Source organism: Homo sapiens, chromosome 14 (assembly GCF_000001405.40).
Source record: "Homo sapiens chromosome 14, GRCh38.p14 Primary Assembly".
In the NCBI taxonomy this organism is placed as follows: domain Eukaryota; kingdom Metazoa; phylum Chordata; class Mammalia; order Primates; family Hominidae; genus Homo; species Homo sapiens.
The window spans coordinates 55,574,772-55,588,936 of NC_000014.9; the positions used below are offsets into that span (position 1 = coordinate 55,574,772).

General features: G+C 41.9%; 1 protein-coding gene and 1 long non-coding RNA gene across 44 annotated transcripts in view, besides 5 other annotated features; one reads left to right on the plus strand and one right to left on the minus strand.

Moving 5' to 3' along the window:
• Window positions 1–1,385: 1,385 nt before the first annotated feature.
• On the minus strand, window positions 1,386–5,321 carry KTN1-AS1 (KTN1 antisense RNA 1). The gene is made up of 3 exons (NR_027123.1): window positions 5,165–5,321; window positions 3,835–3,966; window positions 1,386–2,608 (listed from the first exon to the last, which is right to left on the minus strand). It is a non-coding gene; the product is annotated as a KTN1 antisense RNA 1 (long non-coding RNA).
• Window positions 4,661–4,780: an enhancer, noted in NCBI's record as "active region_8434". NCBI's record gives its function as "activates an Ori minimal core promoter by ATAC-STARR-seq in GM12878 lymphoblastoid cells {active_cell/tissue: GM12878}" and the evidence as "EXISTENCE:reporter gene assay evidence [ECO:0000049][PMID:35858748]".
• Window positions 4,791–4,880: an enhancer, noted in NCBI's record as "active region_8435". NCBI's record gives its function as "activates an Ori minimal core promoter by ATAC-STARR-seq in GM12878 lymphoblastoid cells {active_cell/tissue: GM12878}" and the evidence as "EXISTENCE:reporter gene assay evidence [ECO:0000049][PMID:35858748]".
• Window positions 5,321–5,580: a silencer, noted in NCBI's record as "silent region_5785". NCBI's record gives its function as "represses an Ori minimal core promoter by ATAC-STARR-seq in GM12878 lymphoblastoid cells {active_cell/tissue: GM12878}" and the evidence as "EXISTENCE:reporter gene assay evidence [ECO:0000049][PMID:35858748]".
• Window positions 5,436–14,165, plus strand: part of KTN1 (kinectin 1) — a 104,378-nt gene continuing 95,648 nt past the window's right edge. For 41 of the 43 annotated variants that reach the window (NR_073128.1, NR_073129.2, NR_175289.1 and 38 more), the window contains exon 1: window positions 5,436–5,583. The gene's annotated coding sequence lies outside the window, so the exon portion shown is untranslated. Of the gene's footprint in view, window positions 6,323–14,165 lie in introns of all 43 variants that reach the window. The other 2 variants (NM_001402686.1, NM_001402693.1) reach the window with 1 other exon arrangement.
• Window positions 5,641–6,280: a silencer, noted in NCBI's record as "silent region_5786". NCBI's record gives its function as "represses an Ori minimal core promoter by ATAC-STARR-seq in GM12878 lymphoblastoid cells {active_cell/tissue: GM12878}" and the evidence as "EXISTENCE:reporter gene assay evidence [ECO:0000049][PMID:35858748]".
• Window positions 6,460–6,754: a silencer, noted in NCBI's record as "tiled region #13870; K562 Repressive non-DNase unmatched - State 1:Tss". NCBI's record gives its function as "represses a minimal TATA promoter and a strong SV40 promoter by Sharpr-MPRA in K562 cells {active_cell/tissue: K562}" and the evidence as "EXISTENCE:reporter gene assay evidence [ECO:0000049][PMID:27701403]".

A 14,165-nucleotide genomic window follows, 5' to 3' on the forward strand; every position in this document is an offset into this window, starting at 1 on the left:
CTGGGCAACGAGAGCAAAACTCCGTCTCAAAAAGAAAAAAAAAGGTTCTAAGATTGAGTTCAGAGTGATAGAAGAATTACATAACTGTGAAGAACATTAAACCTTTAAACACTGGGTAAGTAGCTGCTGAGAAAGGGTGTTGAATTATATGTAAAGCTTTTAAAAATAAAGGTTGGGAACTGTGGCTCGCGCCTGTAATCCCAGCCCATTGGGAGGTTGAGGCGAACAGATCACTTGAGCCCAGGAGTTCGAGACCACCCTGGGCAAAATGGCGAAACCCTGTCTCTACAAAAAATAAAAAATTTAGCCTAGTGTGGTGGCGTGTGCCTGTAGTCCCAGCTATTTGAGGGGGCTGACGTAGGTAGACTGCTTGAGCCCCAGAGGTCAAGGCTGCAGTGAGCTGACATTGCGCCACTGCACTCCAGCCTGGGCATCAGGAGTGAGACATTGTCCTTCCGCCCCTGCAAAAAAGGATTCCCACCTATGTGGTGAGGCTAAGAGTGGTTTGGGCTAAAAGTGAGAAGAAAGAGATCAAATCTCCCTTTTCTCCTGCTGTTCAAGCAGGTTGTAAACTAGCCTGTTGGCATGTAGGGAATAGTTTGGTAGAGAGGAAGGAGCTTGAACTTTAGAGTTTCAGTCCCAGCTCTGCCACTTAGTAGCCATTTGACCTTAGGCAAGTTATTTTATTCATTCTTTCTATTTTTTCCTCCTTTTGCACACTTCTTTGCTGTGAATTATTTCCTTTCCTAAGCCTGCTTTCTCATCTGTAAAGTGAGCATAATTACATCCCATGAGGTTGTTATAATTGGCAATTATATATAGTATATGAAAAGTAGCTACTAGGGTGGTTATTATTATTCAGATACATTATAGGTTAAATAATGCCTATTTATATTTAGACCCTATGAGGTGGTTACTCTGTTATATAGTTATATGCTATTTTGTAGTTTAAAAATATTTTAAAATACATTATCTCATTTATTAATAATTCTCACACTCTTAGAGCTAACTCTTGGCCTCCACTAACTAGTGAGGAAACTAAAGCTCTGGGAAGTGAAGTGACTTGTCCAATGTCTCATTACTAGAAAGGGACAGAACCGGGAGGAAAATCAGGTTTTGTAGTTGCAAATTCAATACCTAAAAAAAATTCTTATAAGGAAGTGTATAAAAAAAAATCACAAAATCAAGCATCCAAGTGGCTTGGATTTTTTCTTTCAATTGCCAGGTGTACTTGGACAAAAATGTACACATTTCAATGCTACATTCTTTCTGTTAGAAAAATTTACATGAAACTGGTTGATAGCCAGTATAATATTGCTGATTTAAAGTTACATATCTATTATTATGCAAGTGACAAAAAACATATCATAAGCAAAAATTGCGTATAAATGAAAATTCACATTTTAATAGTTTGTATACCTGAAGATTTACACCTTGGGAGTCAACATGGTATTGGGGCACGTACATGGGAATCGGAGTCAAAGAGCTCTAGGGTCAAGTAGCAGTTTGTGAGCCTTGTGTCTTTGCACTAGTTAGTTACCCGTGTGAGCCTGATACTACAATATGGGGTTGTTTCGAAGACCACATGAGCTAAGATACGTTAAATACCTGGCACAGTGCATATGCACAAATACTAGTTTCTCTGTCCTCATTTAATCCATTAATTTCCAATTCACTGGCAGCCTTTGAGGATGGGAGACATTAAGGTGGTTTTAATCATGTTAAGTAATGTTACATAATAGCTTTACCTCTCTACCTACTTCTGCCCAAATTTCCCTTGAAAGGCTCCAGGGATGTCTTGAGACTGTATGAACAAAGTAGAAACTTCCTTCTGCTTGAATAAGATTTCTTGCAGCTATTTAAAAGACTGGAAGAAGGCTGTTCCATTTATCTATTACATGACGAATTATAAAAAATTACAAAAATTATTTTATTTGTATGGGGTCAGAATTCTGTGGGGTCAGAAACTCAGGCAGTGCTTGGTTAAGTGATATTTTTGCTCCACATGGTATTAACTGGGGTCGCTTGGTGGCATTTAGCTTGTAGCATGGATGGTCTGGAGTTCAAGAAGGCTTCATTTATATTTCTGTCATCTTGATGGGGACAGTTGGAAGATGGTGCAGCTGAGCCCCTCTCCCACCCAATGTAGTCTCAGGGCCTCTCTACATGGTTTTTCCAGCAGGGTAGATGAACTTTTTACATGGATCTAAGAGACAGTGAGTGGAACTGCCTGTCTCGTATAGCCTGGACCCAGAAGTTGGCAAAGCGTCACTTCTGCCATATTCATTGGTCACAGCAGTCACAGAACCCTCCCAAATTCAAGAGGGAGGTCTACAGATCCCACCTTTCACGCAATGAGTGGCAGATAATTTTCAGTCATCTTTAATCTGTTATGACAGCACATGCTTGAAGACACAGGTCAAAAGAGCACAGTGCAGACCTTTATGAAGCACCTTTCTGTGACAGATACTTTGCTAGAATAGCTAATGACTTCTAGATCTGCAGCTGAAGAAGTTTCGATGAACCTTCCGTCTCCATTACTTGGGTGAAAGTGGACCTGGAATCCTCCAGCTGCTTCCATTATACTTTCATTTCTGCTATCCCTGATCTTGTGGAGTCAAGAGATATAATCTGTTACTCACGCATTACTCAAATCTCTACACAAGTCACCACTTATGGGAAAACTACCCTAGTCAAAACAGGAATAGCCAGCTTGTTCTCCATCTGCAGGGCAGGCATGTATTATTTGTCTTTAAAACTTTCCCCAAACTCAGAAAAAAGAGTTGTTACACGCAAAAAATTCAGAAGACAGTCTTCAGTAAATTGCAATTTTGTTAAATTAAAAAAAAATAGGATGTGTGCTCTTTAGGTAACAGTGTTTAGACTTTATAGTTTTCAATAAAATTTAATTTCTTAGTTGTTGCAACTAGAGGTACCTCAGATGCTGGGTGTGTTGCTAATCCTTTTTAACAAGTTAGTTGTTGGTTTCAGTGACACTGGAGGGTAGTAAATAGCAGCCAAAGTTAATTATATCGTAGGTTAATTATATGTGTTAACTATAGCTAATTATATTATACTACACTTTAAAACCTAGAGGGTTGGTGTTAATTCATAATAGGGCTTGCCTATTATGCATAACACTAGAGAAGCATAGCATTTCTAGTGAATCTTTTTTTTTTTTAAGACAGAGTCTTGCTCTGTTGCCCAGGCTGGAGTGCAGTGGCACCATCTTGGCTCACTGCAACCTCTGCCTCCTGGGTTCAAGCGATCCTCCTGCTCAGCCTCCCCAGTAGCTGGGATTATAGGCACCTGCCACCATGCCCAGCTAAGTTTTGTATTTTTAGTAGAGCTGGGGTTTCACCATGTTGGCCATGGTGGTCTCGAACTCCCGACCTCAGGTGATCCACCCAGCTCGGCCTCCCAAAGTGCTGGGATTACAGGTGTCAGCCACTGCGCCCGGCCTCTAGTAAATCTTTTTGTTTTGATGTGAATAAATAGAAAGCTTATAAAAAATAAAGCATTCAACCACTTCCCTTTCTATAGTCAAAGTTCAAACGCCAGAAAAGCCGAAATAGGTGATACAAAGTCATCCTTTAGTATAAGCAGTAGTATGTTTTGAGAAAATCCTAAACTCCACTCATTGTCTTACTTACAAGTGCACCGAAATATTATTGCCTGTAAATGACATTGCGGTTTTACTGGTCAGGAAAATGAATGATATAAATTTTTAATTCTAACCTAAAACCTGCGTTAGTACTAACCTGAGGAAATAACATGGTTGTTTGTAAGCTAATCAAGAGCCCTTAAACTCCATTACATAAATGATACACTTACCCTTTGTATTAAGGGACTAACGGCTTCGCTTTTCAACAAAGCTGGATCTTCTGGCACACGCTCAGAAGATAGCCAGTACTTCAGAGACAGATTGCTTTGAGGGCACTGGAACCGCTGAGGGGCAGAGTAATCCTAATGAGAAAGAAAAAAGAGGACGCCTCTGGAGTTAAAATAAGACAATGCATCTGTGGAGAACACGGTGACTGAAGACTGGCAGAATTCTCAATATCTCAGGCCACTATACACTGCGCAGTTTTCATTTGTATTTTGGAGGTGCTCTAGAAAACTTAGAAATGATTAGAATAAAAAGTATGGATACTTTTAACCAGCCCATGTACAGGAAATTCTGTTGGTGTAGAAACGGTTCTGCTGTTCATTCCTTAACTGCTTCTGTTCCCACTTTGTCAGATGTAGGGCGAGGTGGTGGTGGTGAGTCCTAATTTTTTCTATCTCTATCCACAGTCTGGAATCGTTAGGATTATTTTAAGCCTTCATAACATTTGCGGACAGCTTGGAGTGTTTTGTACATGTAGTGGGGCAGTGCCTGGCCTCCTGTGAGAGATTGATCATCGGTAAACAATCCACACGAAACTCACTTGCCAGTGGACGGGGAGGATCGCTGCCATCCTTTCAGCAAAGAGCAAACGAATAAGGAGAGATCCGGGCCCATCCCTCCTCGCGCAGCAGTTTCTAGATTTTTACCCCGGCTTCATAAATGGCTACCAGCTGGCAGTCACAACACTTTCATAATGTTTGCACACAACTCATTTGGGTCGCTTTCTTTTCTTTCCTTTTTTTTTTTTTTTTTTTGAGAGAAACGGAGAGTCTTACTCTCTCGCCCAGGCTGGAGTGCAGTGGCGAGATCTCGGCTCACTGCAACCTCCGCCTCCTAGATTCCTGCGATTCTCCTGTCTCAGCTTCCCAAGTAGCTGGGGCTACAGGCGTGCGCCACTATGCCCAGCTAATTTTTTGTACTTTTTTTGGCAGAGACGGGTTTTACTATATGTTGGCCAGGCTGGTCTCGAACTCCTGACCTCAGGTGATCCGCCTGCCTTGGCCTCCCAAAGTACTGGGGTTACAGGCGTGAACCACCGCGCCCGACCATTATTTGGGTCGCTTTCTAATTTCTTTCTCCGTTTGTAGCTAGCGTTGCCCGAAGGAGATTTCAGAGAGATCCCCTGGAGAAAGGGACGGGGGATGTCGTTTTCCAGTAATTTCTGGGGGAAATCTGGGATAGTCAGGGGGTAAATCTAGTGCCGTTTGCTGAAGTTAAAAGGCGTGGGGAGCCAGGTGGTGCCCTGGAGGGAGGGCCGCGCGAGACGAGACCAACCTTCGGGACAGGGGAGAGCGGGGCTACTGAACGCAGGGGATTCCGCTGAGCCTCCAGCCCCTGAGCGTCCACCTTCGGCCCAGCTGGGGGACGCGGTCTCGGGAAGAAAGCCCGGAATCCCGAGCCGGCCAGCCGCGAGCAGCGAGTACCGGAGCGCGTGGGCAGGCGCGCGGAGGCAGAGGCGGGCCGGCGGCTGTCCCTTTAAGGGGCCGGTCTCCCGGCGCCGCCGGCCCAGACGCCAGGACGTGCCGGGTCCGCCCCGCCCCGCCCCGAAGCCGCCCGTTTCCTGCCGAGCGGCGCGACGGCACCTGAGCGACTGCGGCGGCGGCGGCGGCGGCGGCGGCGCCTCGGAGCGGGCGGCCCGGGCTGTAGTGCCGGCGCCGCCGCGTCTTCCCGGTCTCCTTTCCCGGCCGCACAGGGTGAGGGAGAGCAGGCCGCACCGGGACGGGCGCCGGCGGCGGGGAGCGCGGGGGGAGGCGGCGCCGGCCGCGGGGTCCTGGGGCAGGCGGGAGGGCCGCGCCGGGCGGGGGGGCGCGGCCGCGGGGCCCGGACGCCGCCCGCTGGGTAGGCCTCGGGCATCCGGTTGCCGCCGCGGGGCTCTTGTTGGGGCCGGGACGCCGCAGGGGGCGGGCTCGGAGGGACCTCCTCGGCCTCGCGGGGCCGCTCTGGGCCCGACCCCGGCTCTGTCGCGGCACCCGGGGCGCGGCCGAGGGACACCCCCCACCCTCCCCAAGGACGACTCTCCCGAAGGCGAGGTCGACCCGAGCGGGCCCTGGGGTGACCGAGGCACCTATTTTTAGCCAAGCCTGAGGGCCCCCGGGAGGGAAGGCGGATTACCGCCTCCTCGGCCGGTGGACGGAGGCAGCGCGTCTCCGGCGGCGTCCCCGGGCCGGAGCTGGGCCACACTTACGCCATGCTGGAGTTCCAGTCCTCGCCGCTGCCTCCGGCGGTCTGGGCGCTCGCCCCCTTCCCCGGCGCCCCTCCCGCTGCCCTTTGCGAGTCCCCAGGTCAGGGCGGGAGGCGGTTGGGCACGGAAAGCAGCATGAGGGGGGACTTTGGAAAAATCCATGGACCACTCTCGACACCGGCGAAGTTATCCCTTCCTGTCCCCGAGGGGTGTGTCCTAGCGATTCGGCCTGACCCCTTCAGTTTCCAAAAGTGAGATTTTTGGCCTTGGGGACCTCGCCGGAAAACTACGCGGGAAGTCTAGAGAAGTCGTCTGGCTCTCAGCCATACGTCTGGTGTGGGATGTGCAGCCCCGCATGCTGGCGGTGAAGGCGCTGGGTGCACTAGATGTGGGCAGCCCCGGACGCGGGCAGCGGCGTCCCAGCCGGCCCCAGTTGCACCTTGACTAGGTTAGGTTGAAAGTAAGCTGTTCAGTGTTGGCCCTTCTTTCCTGTGGGAGGAAGGAGGAATCTAAATTCAGAACTGTGTTGGCAAACGGATTCCTTAGCCGCTATTTAAGTTAGTAGTGCTTAAAGAGCTACGGTTGAAGTTAACTGTTAAGGTGTGTGTGTGTGTGTGAGTGTGTGTGTGTGATGACTTTGTGGAAAGCCTTGAGTAAAGAGCTACGGTTGAAGTTAACTGTTAAGGTGTGTGTGTGTGTGATGACTTTGTGGAAAGCCTTGAGAAATGTAGACACTCATGGCCAGCCCAGCTAAAGATAAGCATCTTCGGTGAACTAAAGGTTCTGAATTGTATAGGAGTTGACTTAAAGTTAGAATTTTTGCTAAATTAGGTTGCATTTGTTTTCCTTAGCTTACCTAGCAGGCTAATGGCAACAGTGTCTCCAGTTTGGTCCGAAGCAATTGCTGGTGAGACTTGGGATAATGATCCCAAGCTGGTGAGACTTGGGATAATGATCCCAAGAATAACACTAAATTACTCTTGAGTATTTTGGGTAGACATGCCTTGCAGTAGACTTTCATATTTGATGTGCTGCCTGATAAAAAAGGCTCTTTTTTTTTTTCCTTTTTCCTTTTTTTTTAGTTTAAGGATCTAACCTGAAATAGCTGGGTCTGTTCATGAGTTTCCCTCCCACCCCAACATTGAGTTTCAAATGTCTCTTCTAATTTTGTAGCCTTCATCAGACATAACAATACCTTATCAAGTGAGCTTAGAGAATAAGGTGTTCTACTTGATTTACTTGAGGCTGATAATGAATTTGAAAATATAACAAGATCTATTGAAAAATTTTCTTAATACTTGAAAATTATAAAGAATATCAAGTATTTAACTCTTAATGATTCAGCGTCAGCATTATGAAGAGACATTTACGATTTTGTTTCCAATTTAGATCTTTCTGTATTCTTTTAATACCAGTAGTCTCTTCTGTTTGATGTTGTGTTTGTCCCTAAAAATGCCTCACTTCAGTCTCCCTTCTAGTTTATAGGCTTTAATCTGCTTTTGGTAGGGAGATCGTTTTAATAATTATATTTTTAATATCAGTCAATATGGCTTTTTAAAAGAGCCTAAGACGTGAAAACCTTTTTGAGACTTCTAAAGAACCCATATTAAGATTGTCACTGTTCTTAAGTTCTTAACTTGAATGTTAAGTTATGGTTAAAAGTTCTTAATCAGCCTGTCATGGTTAAGATGACACGTAGAATACTGAATCATAATTGTTTTTTTAAAAGTTGAATGTGTCTTATACATTTCCTATGTGTAAGTTAATTTCTTAACTTGAATGGAACATGTGTTTTTAATTGTATGCCTATAATTTTTATAGCAAATGAAGTTTTAACCTGAAAGATCTCCAATACTTTGTTAAAATATTAAATTGTTAATGAACTTAAGTGGTTCTAGGAAGGTTTTGGTTCTCTTGGGAATCTGACCTAATATGTAATAAGGAAATGAGAAAAATCGTGCTTTGCAAGATCGTTCATATATTTGAGAATACACCTTATGACCTGCTTGTTCTCTGTACTGTTTTTAGTGACTTTGAAGGTAAATCCAGAGTATACTTAGAGGATACAAGCAAGTAACTATTTCTCTAGAAGTGACATTGGTGATCACTCATGCTCAAAGAGAATTGCATTTCATTGCTTCCTCTTTCAGTTCCTGTGAACATGACTTTGTCCCAATCAAAAAATGTAATTTATTTTCAAATCACTGGGAAAATATTGGTCTAGATGAGAATATAAGCCTTTTTCCCTCCTCTATAAATAGAAAATTAAACATTAAGGGGAAGAACCTTATGTGCTGTGAACTAAGGGGTTTAATTTAACCTTCTGTATCTGAGGTCTAGAGAAAGAGAAATAATGACAGTTTACAACTGTGTGCCGAGCTGTTGTGCTTAAATGTGTTTTTGACAGAGGTGGCAGTGAAAACTAGGCTATTTTTCTTTTTTAAAAAATGGTACAAGCTTTTAATTGGTTTTATGTAAAAGAAAATAGGCAAGATATACTTTTAATTCTAACAATAGTTTTAGTAGATACTCTGATAGGAAATATAATATTCCTCGGAAATGTAGAAGACATACCCTAAAAAAAGTTATGATTTAGTATTTTACGAATCGTCCTAGCTACTACAGGGAGATTAAGAACTCTTCCGTAACTTAAATCTGGTTTCAGCAAAGTGATTTGTACACTAAATGTAATTTGTTTGCACTCTTCTTCCAGGACATTCTGCTTTTTGGGCTTTCTCCTTCCTAATTGCTTTGTTCATTCTATCTTACATCTTCTACTCTTAAACTTGACATGCTCAGTCCTTGTTTCACTTTTCTTTTTATATTCCTCTGACAATCTTATCCAGTGTCATGGTTTTAAATACCTATATGCTGATGGCTCCCATATTTATATCTCCAACCCAGACTTTCCACATGTGCTGTTAGGCCTATCCACTTGGATGTGCAGTAGTCAACTCCAACTAAATTTCCGTATTTTTCCTCAAACATGTTTGATGTTTGATGTTTCCATCAAACATTCAGGTAAAAAAACGTTGGAGTCATCCCTGACTTATTTCTTTCACACTTGGCATTCTGTGCTCTGTCTTATCTTGAAAATATAACCAGAATCCAATCAGTACTTACTGCTTCCACTGCTCACCAGCCTGGTGCAAGCCATTCTTATCTCTTACCTAGATTTCTGCAATTAGCCTCCTAACTGATCTCCCTGCCTCTGCCCTAACTCCCTGCAGTCTTTCCAACACAACAACTGGATCATATTACTTATCTTCTCAGAATGCTACAGTGACTTTCTCTATGCACAGTGAAAGCTGAAGTTCTTATGTCCTTAAGGCCATGCAGAATCTGGACACTTCCACTCTCCTCATTCCCCCTTACCTCTAAGGTTAGCTACTATCATCCCTCTGCTTACTTCTCTCTGGCTCCAATGGTTTTCCTAAGGGCAGCTACATATCAGACACTGCCCTAAACGCTTAGGCTCCATCAATAAACAAAACAGACGAAAAGCTCTGCCCTGATAGAAGTTGTGTAATAGTGTATGTTTGAGGGCAAGGGGAAGAGATAATAAACACAATCAATGAGGAAATTATATACTGTTTACTTCTCCTGGCAAGAAGGTGACAAGTGCCATGGAGGAAACAGAGCTGTTTTTTACACTGGCTGTTACCCTGTAGATACATGCATGGCTTGTTGTCTCCGTCCAGTCTTTGCTTTTTAAATGTCAGTTTCTTAAAAAGATGTGCCTATTTTATTTAAAACTGCACTCCCCTACGTCTGATTCTTGTACCTTGCTCCGTTTTCTTTATAGCATTTGTCACCTTCTGTCATACTATATAATTTCCTGGTTGTGTTTATTGTCTCTTCCACATAACCCTCAAACACAGTATTACATAGCTTCTATGAGGGTAGGCTTTTTGTCTGTTTTATTGATGACTCTTTAAGAGTTCAGAGCAGTGTCTAGCACATAGCAGGTCCTCAATAAGAATTTGTTGAACACAATAATTAAATCCTGGCTGGGTGTGATGACCCACATCTGTAATGCCAGCACTTTGGGAGGCCAAGGTGTGTGGATTGCTTGAGCCCAGCAGTTTGGGACCAGCCTGGGCAACGTGGCAAAACCCCATCTTTAAAAAGAATATAAAAATAGCCAGGCATGGTAGCGTGTGCCTGTGGTCCCGGCTTCTTGGGAGGCTGAGGTGGGAGGATTGCTTGAGCCAGGGAGGTGGAGGTTGCAGTGAGCTGAGATGGTGCGACTGCACTCCAGCCTGGGTGACAGAGTGAGACTGTGTCTCAAAAAAAAAAAAAAAAAAAAAAAAATCTCACATTCCTTCCTTTGATGGATAACTCATTATTGGATACATGTAGTTTTCAGTTTGCTCCTTTCCTCTTTCAGGGATGGTCAGAGAGTGGAAGAAAGTGGCATGGAGCCTTTGGGAGCTGCTTGGTGGAAGGAATGATGTTAGAGTGTGGTGGAGACCCTCTTACATACTCCACATGATTAGGACCATTTGTTAGTTAATTCAAAAAGTTGGTTAAAGCAAGGAATCAAAATATATGTGCACCTTAAATGTTTTCACTTAAAATATTTGATTTTACTTTTATTTGCCTTTTTATTTTTACTGATTTCTTTTCTTAAAATAAAGGTTATCCTGATTTTCCTTTCATAGATTGTACTCTAAAAGCATTATCTATGATTTCTAGTATTGGTTTCTTTAAAGTGGAATGAAAAGATAGGCACTGGGAAACTCTCCAAGTACAAAATCTTTATAGATTTTTCCAGTTATTCATCAAGGCCTTCCAAAGGATTTAATGTCATTTTTATAGAAATAACACCTTTTGACTCTATTTTCATGTTTGATAGATATATAGAAATAAGTGAGTAGGAGAGTAATTGCTAGCCAGAAACAGCTTTCTGAAGACACCAGCCCATGTATTTTTACAAAGGAGGAGAATGTCAGTTAATCCAGTGAGAGATCCTGTAAGACAGCTTCCACTTTGAATAGGTTCCATAGGGGCCGTAGGATCATAGCAGCCTATAATTACTAGAAGAGAATGTTATTTACCCTTATTTCTTTATTTTGACTCTGAGTAACATCTACAATTAGTTTTCAGAACTTATGTGAATTCAAGTAAGTGTACATTGTCTATCAGGAGACATGATGTTACACTGCATTTTCGCTGGAAAATGTGGGACAATTATTATTCTTATGCATGAGTCATTGAGTTGTTAAGGAAACAATCTGGTCTGGTATAATAAGCTGGAAGTCACTAGTTAGGAGACCTACAGGTCTTAGACCTTATTAACTCTAAGGTTTTATGCAAGTTCTTTATTGTCCAGTTCTTTAATTACATAATGTTCTGTGGGGTAGTGGAAACAGCTTGGGCACTAGGGAGCCTGAAGACCTTGGGCTTGAATTTAGTTTTGCTAGTCAGTACCACTTACTGCATGTGTGATCTTAACCTATATTAACCTGCCTAAGGCTCATTAAGGAATTATCTTACCTCAGTAGTTGCCTCATAAGTGATAGCTAACATTGGAGTACATATTTGCTGTCAAACTCTAAATGCTTTAGGTGCATTATCATATCATATCATATTTAATCTTCTCAACAACCTTATGAGGTAGGTACTATTTGGTGAAAACTAGGGAGACAAATAATTTGTTCAAAGACACAAATATCTTTAGGAGGAGCCTGAATTTTAACTGAGGCATTCTGACTTAGAGCCCATTCTTACCCGTTGAGCTGTTTTATAAGAATGCTTTCTGAAGAAAACAAAACGCTGTCCATGTGCAGCTGTCTAATGTTAGGCATTACAAAGCTAAATTAAGGTTATAAGGATCCCCCTCCCCCCCATAGGAATTAGAAGATTAATTCTTAAAACTAGTGATTTAAATTTAAAGACTTGAAGTTTTTCAAGTGGAGAAAACAGTAAAAGCTACTTAAACCACATGCTATAAAATGTTTTAGTTATATGGAAAGCAGTAGATAGAATGTCGTCCTTTTGTTTCCAAGAAACTTTTCTGTTTCATTTCCTGCATATGTTCATTATAAGTTACTCTTGTGTGATCTTATAGACATTTCTTAATGGTTACCTCGAAAACGCCAACTCTGACCCTACCTAAAAATGCATACCCTCCCTATTCTTTGTCACAGCCTTATTTTTATTCATTGCATTATCAGTCACAACCTGATGTTATAATACGCTTATTTCTTTCTTGGTATCTGCCTCACCTACAAGAATATAAATAATGTGAGGCAGGGACTGTCTTGTTCATCGCTGTGAACTATATGTCTGACACCTAGCTAGTGCTCAATTTGAATGAATGGATGGTCTGATGCTTGAAAATGATTGGGACTCATTGAGTCTTTTGCTTTACTTGCCATCCTTTATTAGCATGGCTAACTGAGTGGTATTTGGTATGCCATATAAAGTGAAACTCTAAGAATAAGGGTTTTAGGTTTACTCTTGGGAGAGTGGAATGGAAAACAATTTGAAACATGAATTTCAGCAAAATGGGTGTGCTTAGTCCCAGTTAATCTTGTTCATCAGTAATGTAAGTGTTCTGAGTGGAATCTGTACATAAATAATTTAGTGAATGCTTGTGTTTAGATCTAATTACCTTTTGAAATAAATTTGGACAAGCTAAGCTGTGCACTGAAAACTCCCTAGTGTTCTGAATGCTATGTTGCAGAACGTTGAAGATGTTGCCTTAAATCTGTAATATCCACACAGGTTGAATTCACTTACGTGCCACCAACCTGTACTTGCCTACTTTATTGGGAAGTCATGTTCATTTGAAATGTTTCCGTAATTACTTTACGTAGTTTTCATAATCTGGGTCTCTTGAGGTTGGCTGAATGTCATGATTTCTGTAAAGGGAATTCCTCAAGCTTGTATTTAGTGCTCTTATTTCTGGGTACAGTTTCAGGTGCTGTGCTGGATAATCTTTGTGCTTGGTACTCTATTGCTGGAGAATCATTTCTTAAATAGCTTCCAGTTTGACTAGATGTTTGCTGTAATTTTAAGTTTAAATTGAATCCTTTTGTAAAAGTGGCTTAATTCTTTCACTCTTTTTTTTCTTTTAGTCTAAATAATTGGATTTAGTTTTAACTTGAAGTATTTCTGAGCTTGAAAATTCTGGAGCACTTTTCAAGTAAAAAATACAGCTGACCTTTGGACAATGTGGGAATTAGGGGCACTAGCACCCTGTACAGTCAGAAATGTTTGTATAACTTTTGACTCTCCAGAAACTTAACTACTAGTACCCTACTTTTGACTGGAAACCTTACCAATTACATAAATAGTCAATTAACATGTATATTGTACGTTATATGTATTATATACTGTATTCTTATAATAAAGCTAAAGAAAAGAAAATGCTACTAAGAAAATCATAAGAGACTGTGTATTTACAATACTGTACTGTTTATTGATACCATAAGTTTATATCATCTGTAAGATGAATCATCTGTCTGAAACAGTGAGCAACTGTAACTGCAGACCTCAGTCTAAGTACATATCAAGTAATTCAACTTTTCCTTGTCATGACTTTTCTCTGCTTCTCGGGAGCACTTCCAGCATTACTAGTGGCACTTGGCATGGGTCTCATGGTGTTATTCAGGGTTTACAGTGTTGTGCTAAAAATGATGAAAAATATGCGAGAACTATGATCACTTTTTACTGTGATACTGTTACTGGAAGGACAGAATGCTCATGTGGAGATAATTAGAGTCATGGATAGGAGTCAGGGATACTTCAGACACTTGAGCTCACAGTAATACCAACAGGAGGTGGCCACAAAATTATTACAGTGGTACAGTATGTACTGCAGTTAATTTTATGCAGTTGTGATTTGGTACTGTATCTTGACCTTTGTTTACATTTCCATCTATTGCAAATGGCACCATGTACAGTAACCATATAGGGTCTGGTTTGTGTAAGTTTTGATAAATTTTAACTTTATTATTTGTGTATATTTTATGGTAGTAAATTATGAAATAGACTGGGATCTACATATATTTTATGCATTCATGACATTTTTCTTAATTTTTTTCAATATTTCTAGGCTGTGGTTTCCCTGTGAGTTTTTTTCAT